The 12530-nt window shown below is 46.4% G+C and overlaps 1 protein-coding gene across 1 annotated transcript in view; it reads right to left on the minus strand.

Moving 5' to 3' along the window:
- CLMP (CXADR like cell adhesion molecule) overlaps positions 1-12530 on the minus strand; it is a 125377-nt gene that overhangs the window by 15008 nt on the left and 97839 nt on the right. The gene's annotated exons all lie outside the window — the stretch shown is intronic.

Here is a 12530-nt window from a genome sequence, read left to right on the forward strand (position 1 = left end):
TTTGCACCTAGGCCTTGCCTCTCCTTCCAAAAATAATAACACTTCATGTTTGTGTAGCATTTTAGTTATAAAGTATTATATTAAATGCTCAGAACCACTCCATCTTACAGGTAAGGAATTTGAAGTTTGACTTACATACTGAAGTTCACACAGCTAAGTCAAGGAAAGGAGGAAACCATGCAAGTGTACAGCTATGCATGTATTAAGCATAGACTTATGAAAGGAAAAGAAACCTCGGGACCCCTCGGGAAGCCAAAGGGAAGGTCGAGCTTGGAACGATGTCGGCAAACCTGCCTCCCATTCTTTTTTTTTTTTTTTTTTAAGTATTTGAGAGACTTCTATGAGACAGGACTGTTTCCTTGGTTTTATTTATTTATTTATTTATTTTTGAGACAGTCTCGCTCCGTCACCCAGGCTGAAGTGCAGTGGCACAATCTTGGCTCACTGTAACCTCCGCTTCCTGGGTTCAAGCAGTTCTCCTGCCTCAGCCTCCTGAGTAGCTGGGATTACAGGTGTACACCACCATGCCCGGCTAACTTTTGTATTATTGGTAGAGACAGGGTTTCGCCATGTTGGCCAGGCTGGTCTTGAACTCTTGGCCTCAGGTGATCCACCCTCCTTGGCCTCCCAAAGTGCTGGGATTACAGACATGAGCCACCACGCCTGGCCTGCCTTCCATTCTATTCCTGAATAAGAAATAAGATAGCTACAAAGATAAAAAAAAAAAAAAAAAAAAAGCTTACAGTACTCCTGCACAATTTGCCCACAAGGTGACTGCTTGTGGACAAAGGACAGACAGAACTCACAGTTACCCCTCTGCACACATGAGATAAATGCATATCTGATTGCTTCCTTTGCCCTATTTCACTAAGCCGAACTAATTTTTTATGTTTTTTTTTTTTTGTTTTTTTTTTGAGATAGAGTCTCACTCTTGTCGCCCGGTCTGGAGTACAATGGTGCGATCCTGGCTCACTGCAACCTCTGTCTCCTGGGTTCAAGCAATTCTTCTGCCTCAGTCTCCTGAGTAGCTGGGATTACAGATGCATGCCACCATGACTCGCTCATTTTTGTATTTTTAGTAGAGCTGGGGTTTCTCCATGTTGGCCAGGCTGGTCTTGAACTCCTGACCTCAGATGATCTGCCTGCCTCAGCCTCCCAAAGTGCTGGGATTACAGGTGTGAGCCACTGCGCCTGGCCCTAATTTTTTATTTTAGTAGAGATGGGGTTTCACCATTCTGGCCAGGCTGGTCTCAAAGTCCTGACCTCAGGTGATCCACCCTCCTCGGCTTCCCAAAGTGCTGGGATTACAGGTGTGAGCCACTGCGCCTGGCAAATCTCTTCTTTGGTTCAAGTGATTTATAATCAAGTGAGATTAACAAGGAAAGACTATTAAACAGAGAAAAAGAAATGATTTATTTGAAATAGTATCAAGGAGAGTGTCCCAGACAAGTTGGTGGCATTTGAGCTAGGCTTTGAGAGGCAAGGAGAAAAGGCCTGGAGGGAGCATTCCAGCTACACAGAAGGGCACTAAAAAAGGCATGCAAGCATATGGGCATCTCCCAGGCACATTTCAGCTGCAGCTGTTCCAAATTGTTTCACTCAAGCCCTCAACCCTGCCTTTGATCACGTGTTGCTCCACAGCTCTTCAGAGCCTTTCCTGAGAAGGTTCTCTCAATCAGATAAAACCTATGAACTCTGACCCAGAAAAAACTCACATATTATTTTGCAGATAATTCCATGGGGTTCCTAGCACTCAAGGGAAAGCCCTCTGCTTTAGGCACAGATGGGGAAGAGCTAGGATCACAGCCCTTCTCCTGGATGTGGTACTTGTTTGTTCTAAATATTTGTGGGGGCCAGATGCGTGGTGGTTCACGCCTGTAATCCAAGCACTTTGGGAGACCAAGGCTGGTGGTTTGCTTGAGCCCAGGAGGTTGAGGCTATAGTGAGCCAAGACTGCGCCACTGTACTCCAGCCTGGGTGACAGAGTGAGACCCTGTCTCAACAAATAAAATTTAAAAAAAGAAAAAAATGTAACTGGGTGCGGTGGCTCACAACTGTAATCCCAGCATTTTGGGACGCCAAGGCAAGCAGATCACTTGAAGTCAGGAGTTTGAGACCAGCCTGGCCAACATGGTGAAACCCTGTCTCTACTAAAAAATACAAAAATTAGACAGGTGGCCTGACGTGGTGGCTCACGCCTATAATCCCAGTCCTTTGGGAGGCCGAGGTGGGCAGATCACCTGAGGTTGGGAGTTCAAGACCAGCCTGACCAACATGGTGAAACCCCGTCTCTACTAAAAATACAAAATTAGCCGGGCGTGATGGCGCATGCCTATAATCCCAGCTACTCGGGAGGCTGAGGCAGGAGAATTGCTTGAACCCGGGAGGCGGAGGTTGCAATGAGCCAAGATCACGGCATTGCACTGCAGTCTGAGCAACAAGAGCGAAACTCCGTCTCAAAAAAAAAAAGAAAGAAAGAAAAAACTAGGTGTGGTGGTGTGCGCCTGTAAACCCAGCTACTCAGGAGGCTGAGGCAGCAGAATCACTTGAACCTGGGAGGCAGAGATTGCAGTGAGTGGAGATTATGCCACTGCACTCCAGCCTGGGCAACATAACAAGATTCTGTCTCAAAAAAATAAAATGAAATAAATAAATATTTGCGGCTCGGTGCAGTGGCTCATGCCTGTAATCCCAGTACTTTGGGATGCCGAGGCGGGTGGATCACGAGGTCAAGAGATCGAGACCATCCTGGCCAATATGGTGAAACCCTGTCTCTACTAAAAATACAAAAATTAGCTGGGTGTGGTGGCATATGCCTGTAGTCCCAGCTACTAAAGAGGCTGAGGCAGAAGAATCGCTGGAACCCAGGAGGCAGAGGTTCCAGTGAGCCAAGATCATGCCACTGCACTCCAGCCTAGGGACAGAGTGAGACTCTGCCTCAAAACAAGACAAAACAAAACAGAAAAATGTTTGTAGGGTGTTGTTGGCCCCACATCCTGTTGTACTCTGTAGGGTAGGTTTCGTTTTGTTTCTTTTTTTTTTTTCTTTGAGACGGAGTTTCACTCTTTTTGCCCAGGCTGGGGTGCAATGGCATGATCTTGGCTCACCACAACCTCCGCCTCCCGGGTTCAAGTGATTCTCCTGCCTCAGCCTCCTGAGTAGCTGGGATTACAGGCATGTGCCACCAGGCCCAGCTAATTTTGTATTTTTAGAAGAGATGGGGTTTCTCCACGTTGGTCAGGCTGGTCTCGAACTCCTGACTTCAGGTGATCTGCCCGCCTCGGCCTCCCAAAGTGCTGGGATTACAGGTGTGAGCCACCATGCCCAGCTGGAAGGGTAGGTTTCTTGGCAGGTGATAGAGCTGACTTAGTAATGCAAAATTGCTGGGATAGTTGGAAAAGAAGGAAATGCGTTCACAACAGGAAAAAACTGGAAGCTGTAGAGTTTGTCTCCATTCAAAGACTGAAAGTAAGGGGGCCTTACACCTGGAGATAAGGCAGGTAAGCTTGGAACACTTACTAGGTGCTCTGTTAATGTTTCTCTTTCTTTCTGATTTGTCCATATTTCCCCCAGATGCATAATCACCTACAATGAAGTCAGTTTGTACTTTCTAGGAGAATGAAGAGAGGCAAAACCTACAAGACAGTGAAGCACTGGGTAATTTTTAGGAACTTTGGGGTTTTGTGGGCTTTGACAGGTGGGTGACCTTTTTGGCCTGAGAGCTTTGGAATTTCTTTCTTGTTTATTTTATTTATTTATTTTTGAGATGGAGTTTCACTCTTGTTGCCCAGGCTGGAGTGCAGTGGCGTAATCTCCACTCATTGCAACCTCCGCCTCCTGGGTTCAAGCGATTCTCCTGTCTCAGCCTCTCAAGTAGCCGGGATTACAGGCATTCACCACCACACCAGCTAATTTTGTATTTTTAGTAGAGACGGGGTTTTACCATGTTGGTCAGGCTGGTCTCGAACTCCTGACCTCAGGTGATCCACCCGCCTTAGCTTCCCAAAGTGCTGGGATTCCAGGCGTGAGCCATGGCGCCCAGCTGCTTGTTTATTTTAGTATTTGGGTTAGCATCCAGAGATGCCTTCGTCTTGAAATATATATTTGAATTTGAAGAATCTTAGTAGCTGTGGTCCAAAGTAGAGTCAGGCTGCTTTGGACGCTAGAACAGTACAGCAAGCACTTTCAAACTGTTTTCAACAGACTCACATTAAGAAATACATTTTTCTCGCCCGGGGCTCATGCCTGTAATCCCAGCACTTTGGGAGGCCAAGGCAGGCAGATCACTTGAAGCCAGGAGTTCCAGACGAGCTTGGCCAACGTGGTGAAACCCCATCTCTACTAAAATTACAAAAATTAGCCGGGCATGGTGGCGCATGCCTGTAGTCCCAGCTACTCAGGTGGCTGAGGCAGGAGAATTGCTTGAGCCCAGGAGACGAAGTTTGCAGTGAGCCGAGATCATGCCACTGCACTTCAGTCAAAAAAAAAAGAAACACATTTTTCTTCATGACACAGCATACACATATATACTGAAACATAAGTTTCATGAGTATATGTGCAGTATGCTCTGATATTGTCTAGTCTATGTTAAAAGAAAACAAAATGACCAGGTGCAGTGGCTCATGCCTGTAATCCCAGCACTTTGGGAGGCCGAGGCGGGCGGATCACAAGGTCAGGAGATCAAGACCATCCTGGCTAACACGGTGAAACCCCGTCTCTACTAAAAATACAAAAAATTAGCCAAAATATTAGCTGGGTGTGGTGGCGGGCGCCCGTAGTTCCAGCTACTCGGGAGGCTGAGGCAGGAGAATGGCATGAACCCAGGAGGCGGAGCTTGCAGTGAGCCAAGATCGCACCACTGCACTCCAGCCTGGGCGACAGAGCGAGTCTCCATCTCAAAAAAAAAAAAAAAAAGAAAAAGAAAAAGAAACAAAACAAGGCTGGGCGCGGTGGCTCACACCTGTAATCTCAGCATTTTGGGAGACCAAGGCGGGCAGATCACCCGAGGTCGGGAGTTCGAGACCAGCTTGACCAACATGGAGAAACCCATCTTTATTGAAAATACAAAATTAGCTGGGCGTGGTGGTGCATGCCTGTAATCCCAGCTACTCGGGAGGCTTAGGCAGGAGAACCTGGGAGGCGGAGGTTGCAGTGATCCAAGATCACGCCATTGCACTCCAGCCTGGGCAACAAGAGTGAAACTCTGTCTCAAAGAAAAAAAAAAAAATTTCTTATCATTTAGGATCCACTAACTGGTTGTGATACAGATTTTGAAAAAACGCTAGGCTGGGCATGGTGGCTTACACCTCTAATCTCAGCACTTTGGGAGGCCAAGGTGGGTGGATCACGAGGTCAGGAGATTGAGACCAGCCTGGCCAACATTGCGAAACCCCCATCTCCACTAAAATACAAAAAAAAAAAAAAAATAGCTGGGCGTGGTGGCATGCACCTGTACTCCCAGGTACTCAGGAGGTGGAGGTTGCGGTGAGCCGAGATTGTGTCACTGCACTCCAACCTGGCAACAGAGCGAGACTCTGTCTCAAAAAAAAAAAGAAAAAACACTGTGCCAGGCCGCAGTGATTGGGATTGCTGGCTGGGAAGTCAAATGATCTCCAAACGGAAGCCTCTCCACTGACAGCTGTGTGCCTGTCTCTGATCACTTATTCTTTCTAAGCCTTAAGATCCTGAACTATAAAAGGGGGCTGCGTTACTTCATAGGGTTTTTGTGGGAATGAGATAGTAAGCACTCAAGTGTTAGCATTATCATTTTTATTAGCCTGGTTCTGGGTTCAAGAAGGCCCCTAAGGTTTTAAAAATTGTTCAGCCCAATACGCAAAGAATACTAATCATTCTGTTCCCAGAAAGAGCTGGGTCCGGTTGCATTTTCTCATGGCCCAATAACGAGAAGCAGACAAACTGGGAAAGAAGGGAATTTATCACTGTAACTGGATACAGGGAGAAGGTTGAAGATAATTCCACCAGACCAACTCAAAAGTGTACAATTTTCTTAGTGCTTATATAGGTTGTGGTTATGTGCCTATGTGCAGTATAGCATTTGCCTAAGTCTATAAGTAACTATTTTGTTTCAACTAGAAGGTCAGAGGCCAAAAAATGCTTGCTAAGTCTGATTAAACTGCGAGGGTCCCAGTATCTTCAAGGCCTATCTACTGTGGTACTGGAGTGATTCTTTTCCTTCTTTCTTTCTCTCTCTCTCTCTTTCTTTGTTTCCTTTCTTTCTTTTTTGAGACAGAGTTTCATTCTGTCACCCAGGCTGGAGTGCAGTGCCACAATCTTGGCTCACTGCAACCTTTGCCTCCTGCGTTCAAGCGATTCTCCTGCCTCAGCCTCCCGTGTAGCTGGGACCACAGGCGCATGCCACCACGTCCAGCTAATTTTTGTAGTTTTAGTAGAGATGGGGTTTCACCAGTTTGGCCAAGCTGGTCTCAAACCCCTGACCTTAAGCGACCTGCCCACCTCAGTCTCCCAAAGTGCTGGGATTACAGGCATGAGCCACCGTGCCCATCCGGAGTGATTATTCCTATCTTATCTCATGTACAGCTTGGTCTGAAGAGCTGCTTAGACTTTCCAATAAATCTATTCAAACAACTGCCTCTGTTACCTTGACTGTCTCAGATTTCGACAACCCAAGACAGGTCCTGGCACTAGGAATGTGAGACTGTCTCCGTTATTTTGACTTGCTCCAGGATAGGGAGAAGCCTATGCACGTCTCCTACTGACCATATGTTTATATTTCTAGCTTTGATGTCTGGGCACCGATTTCCCTAGGTTTAATTATTTGCTCAGTGTTAAGGCAGTGCTGTGGAAATTTGTCTGTGTAACTGGAGTGCTGTGCAGGCCTGTCTGTGTGACTGTCATGCAGGCCCATCTGTGTGATTGTTAGGGAGAAACAGCCTGCTACAATTCCACACGTTTGTGTAGCAAAGCTCACCTGGCTGAAAATCTGTTTCCCATCACCTGTGCACACTGATGAAGGCTTGGCTTCTGAAGGTTACACCTATGCCAGCGCAGTCTGGACCATGCCTCATTTTTGACTCCTGCCCTCACATCTCTGAATCTCGTTGTCCCCAAACCTGATGTTTCTTGATTCTGAATAGTGTCTTCTGATAGATCTCGGCTTTGATTACACAGTTTTTTCTTTCTGAAATGCCTTTTCCTCTTCTATTTTTGCCTCAACAACACCTATATAAGGCCTCAAGATCAAGCTCAAGGACCACTTTCTGTATATAGCCTTTCTCGACTCCCCAGTTAGAATGGTGACTCCCTGCTTCAACCTGTGGTGTTTGGGGCATACTGCTACCATAGTGCACAGTACGTTCAGGTAGGTCTGACTCCATCTGCTTTTCCTCGCTTTCCCTAAAATCTTGTCTCCACACACACACACACACACACAAAGACACACACTTTTTTTTCTTTTTGAGACGGAGCCTAGCTCTGTCGCCCAGGTTGGAGTGCAGTGGCACAATCTTGGCCCACTGCAACCTCCACCTCCCGGGTTCAAGCGATTCTTCTGCCTCAGCCTCTCGAGTAGCTGGGACTACAGGCACACACCACCACGCCCGGCTAATTTTTGTATTTTTAGTAGAGACTGGGTGTCACCATATTGGCCAGGTTGGTCTTGAACTCTTGACCTTGTGATCCACCCGCCTTGGCCTCCCAAAGTGCTGGGATTACAGGCGTGAGCCACTGTGCCTGGCCACATTTTTCTTTTCTTTTTTGAGACAGAGACTCTCTCTTTTGCCCAGGCTGGAGTACAGTGATGCAATCTCAGCTCCCTGCAACCTTCGCCTCCTGGGTTCAAGTGATTCTTCTGCCTCAGCCTCCCAAGTAGCTGGAACTACATGTGTGTGCCACCATGCCCGGCTAATTTTTTTGTATTTTTAGTAGAGATGGGGTTTCACCATATTGGTCAAGCTGCCCTTGAGCTCCTGACCTCGTGATCTGCCCACCTCGGCCTCCCAAAGTGCTGAGATTACAGGTGTGAGCCACTGTGCCTGGCCTGACACACACTTTTTTTTTTTTTTTTTTGAGATGTTGTCTCATGCTGTCGCCCAGGCTGGAGTGCAGCGGTATGATCTCTGCTCACTGCAACCTCCTCATCCCAGGTTCAAGCGATTCTCCTGCCTCAGCCTCCTGAGTAACTGGGACTACAGGCACCCGCCATCACTCCTGGCTAATTTTTGTATTTTTAGTAGAGACGGGGTTTCACCATGTTGGTCAGGTTGGTCTCAAACTCCTGACCTTGTGATCCACTGGCCTCAGCCTCCCAAAGTGCTGGAATTACAGGTGTGAACCACCACGCCCGGCCATCACACACCTACTTTTAAGAGACAGGTCTCACTGTGTTGCCCAGGCCAAGACTGTCTCAATATTTAATGAAGAAAAAAGGGATAACATGCAGGCAAGCATCTGACATCTTTGGAAAGGTGAAATTATACAATTGCAAGATACTATTTTTTGCGGGGTGGGGATGGAGTCTCACTCTGTCACCCAGACTGGAGTGCAGTGGTGCGATCTCGGCTCACTGTGACCTCCGCCTCACAGGTTCAAGCAATTCTCCTGCCTCAGTCTCCCAAGTAGCTGGGATTACAGGTGCCTACCACCATGCCTGGCTAATTTTTTGTGTTTTTAGTCGAGAGAGGGTTTCACCATGTTGGGCAGGCTGGTTTCAAACTCTTGACCTCAAATGATCTGCCCACCCAAAGTGCTAGTATTATACTTTGGGCCTCCCAAAGTGCTAGGATTACAGGTGTGAGCCACTGTGCCCAGCCTATTTTGTTTTTTATCCTAAGAAGTGTAGTGTTGAGACTAAGCAGTTCATCAGGGTGTGATGGGAGAAAAATGAACATCAATTTAGTCCTTTTGCAAACAAATAAAAAAATTAAAAATATGAATTTCAGTGGTTTGGGGCTGTTTGTCATTCCTGGTGGACCTGGAACAATTTGTTAGGACTTATATAGAACAGATGGAGCAGCTCAACTTTCTGGCAGTCATTCTGCTGTGCCATCGCCTGCAGAGCAGTCGTAAAACTGCTCTGAATGGAGATGGATGCAGATCTCTCTTGATGTTTTAGATCAGGATTTTTCCGCCATTTGGTGTTTTCTCAGAGAAGCAGCCTACATAGCACATATTACACTTTCACATTATTTATGAAGGTAATACAGCTAGTGGTTCTCAGACCAGGCACTGAGGTCAGGGTGCCTAATTTGTTTTTTGTTCATTTGTGTTGTTTTGAAATGGTCTCCTGTCACCCAGGCTGGAGTGCAGTGGCGCCATCTCTGCTCACTGCAGCCTCGACTTCCCATGCTCAGCCATTCTCCCACCTTAGCCTCATAAGTGGCTGAGATTATAGGCCTGCGCCACCATGCCCAGCTAATTTTTGTAATTTTAGTAGAGGTGGGGTTTCACCATGTTGCCCAGGCTGGTCTTGAACTCCTGAGCTCAAGTGGACCTCCTGCCTGGGCCTCCCAAACTGCTGGGATTACAGGCATGAGCCACTGTGCCCGCCCGGCCCAGCCCAGGGTGCCTAATTTGAAAATGCAAATTAGGTGACCTTAGGCAATTTGTTCACTATGTTTGTGTGTTTACACACATGTGGGCATACCTCAGCTCCTTATTTGTAAAATGGGCCCATTAATCCTAGTTATCAGTATTACATTAACAAATTTTAAAAATTGTTTTAGAAATGGGAGTTCTCACTCTGTTGCTCAGGCCATCTGGAACTCCTGGCCTCAAGTAGTCCTCCCACCTCAACCTCCCGAGTAGCTGGGACTACAGGCACAAGCTACTGCAACTGGCACATATTAAATAACATGAGATAATACGTGCTAAACAGATTTGCACCTGGCATATTTATTGGTTTCTTTGTTCCTACCTTTCTAACTACCCCTTCCCCTCCTTTCTTAAAAGAAAAATTATTTAAGAGATAGAATCTCACTGTGTCACCCAGGCTGGTCTCAAACTCCTGGGTTCAAGCAATCTACCCACCTCAGCCTCCTGAGTAGCTGAGATTGCAGACACTAGCCACTGTGCCAGGCTCTTTGTAAAAAATTATTAAATGTCTTCTCACTATAACCTCTAAGAAGGCAAGGACTATGATGTCTTCTTCACTATTGTATCCTGGTACCTAGCATGGCATACAGTAAGTGCTAAATAAGTTTGTGTAATCTGAATGATTGAATAAATGGACATCCTTGCTTCACAGTATCAACTGAAGACAAGCAGGGAATTGTGACTGCTTAAAGCCATATCAAGGGCTTTTTGAAATCAATAATTAACATCCTAATCCTTATATTCACTTGGCTATATAACCAAGCAAGTCTTTTTTTCTTTAATTCAAATGAAAATACTTGGGTGAAAGTTAGATGTGTGAAATTGCTAATGAGAAAATTATCCAGTGAAACTTTTTTTTTTTTGAGACAGTCTTGCTCTGTTGCCCAGGCTGGAGTGCAATGGCTCGATCTCAGCTCCAAGCTATTCTCCTGCCTTGGCCTCCTGAGTAGCTGGGATTACGGGCAGATGCCACCAGGCTTGGCTTATTTTTTGTATTTTTAGTAGAGACAGAGTTTCACCATGTTGCCCAGCCTGATCTTGAACTCCTAACCTCAGGTTATCCACCCACCTTGGCCTCCCAAAGTGCTGGGATTACAGGTGTGAGCCACCGCACCTGGCCAAAACTTGTTAAAGATAGTAAAACAGACTATTCAAGAGGCGCCATGGTAATAGGTATGAAGACCTGTGAGTCAGAGATTGGGCTTGACTCTGATTCCAGCAAGTACAAGGGGAGTTTACAACCAAGGAGCAGGGTGAGGGTCATGAAATTACTAAGAGGGAACATCAGAGATGAGGGGGTTTCTGATTGAACCTGCTTGATAGGATTATTATTGTAGGCAGGATAGGGTAATAAGATACCAAGAGTGGAGCATTTTCACTAACCTGACTTAGCAGCATTCTTGCTCAAAATGTATTCTACGAGGGCAGAGAGGGAAGTCCAAGATTAGCTCTAGTCAGAAAGACCGCAAGAACCTGCCTCAAGTGTGATCAAAGAAGAGAATCTATCAGAGTCATTCTTGGATTTTTATTACAGGAACATGGGCTGTAATAAACATGAACATCACTTCATTCAGAACTGAGAGTATCAAATCTAGGCTGACCAAGAAGCTGTTAAAATAAACATACTCAGAGGTCTGGCACAGTGGCTCACGCCTGTAATCCCAGCACTTTGGGAGGCCGAGGCAGGCCGAACACCTGAGGTCAGGAGTTCGAGACCAGCATGGCGACACTCAATCTCTACTAAAAAAACAAAAATTAGCTGGGCGTGGTGGTGGATGCCTGTAATCCCAGCTACTCAGGAGTTGGAGGCATGAGAATCGCTTGAACCCAGGAGGCGGAGGTGGCAGTGAGCTGAGATGGCACCACAGCACTCCAGCCTGGGCGACAGAGTGAGACTTCATCTCAAACAACAACAACAACAAAAATCAGCCAGGCGTGGTGGTGCACGTCTGTAATCCCAGCTGCTCAAGAGGCTGAAGCGGGAGAATCGCTTGAACCCTGTGAGTGGAGGTTGCAGTGAGCTAAGATTGAGCCATTGCACTCCAGCCTGGACAACAAAGTGAGACTCTGTCCCAAAATAAAAAAATAAATAAATCAATAAACCTACTCAGGTTAAAGTGACCTCGCTCTACAGAGAACAGATAGTATCTTAGGATGTTGCTGTATGAGAACAAAATGACAAGCAATATCAATATAATGAGGTGATGTAGACAGCTATTTAAGCAAGTTACACTATAATAGTGATCCTGAAATCTGTTTTCAGTGAAAACCTTAGCTCTTCCCAACATAAACCATGTTATAAAATTAGTGGTGTAGACAGAGAAGAGGAAAGGACAACTTTTTTCTTTCTTTTGCTTTTGTTTTGTTTTTGTTTTTTTAGAAACAGTGTCTGGGTCTGTTGCCCAGGCTGGAGTACAGTGGTGTGATCTCAGCTCACTGCAGCCTTGACCTCCTGGGCTCAAGCGATCCTTCTGCACTCAGGCGATCCTCCTGCACTCAAGCGATCCTCCTGCTTCAGCCTCGTGAGAAGCTGGGACTATGGGCATGTGGCATCACATCTGGCTAATTAAAAAAATTTTTTTGGTACAGAGGGAGTCTCACTTTGTTGCCCAGGCTGGTCTTGAACTCCTGGGCTCAAGCAGTTCACCCCCCTCAGGCTCCCAAAGTGTTGGGATTGCAGGTGTGAGTCACTGCACCCGGCCTGACAACTTCTTATTTATTTAGAGACAGGGTCTTGCTGTATTGCCCAGGCTCAAGTGCAGTGGCTATTTACAGGTGTGATCATAGCTCACTGCAGCCTGGCACTCCTGGGCTCAAGTGATCCTCCCACCTCAGCCTCCCAAGTGGCTGACACTACAGATATGTGCCACCACATCTGGCTAATTTTTCTTTCTTTCTTTTTTTTTGAGATGGAGTCTTGCTGTGTCACCCAGGCTGGAGTGCAGTGGCATGATCTCAGC

This window comes from Homo sapiens, chromosome 11, assembly GCF_000001405.40.
Source record: "Homo sapiens chromosome 11, GRCh38.p14 Primary Assembly".
Taxonomy (NCBI): Eukaryota; Metazoa; Chordata; class Mammalia; order Primates; family Hominidae; genus Homo; species Homo sapiens.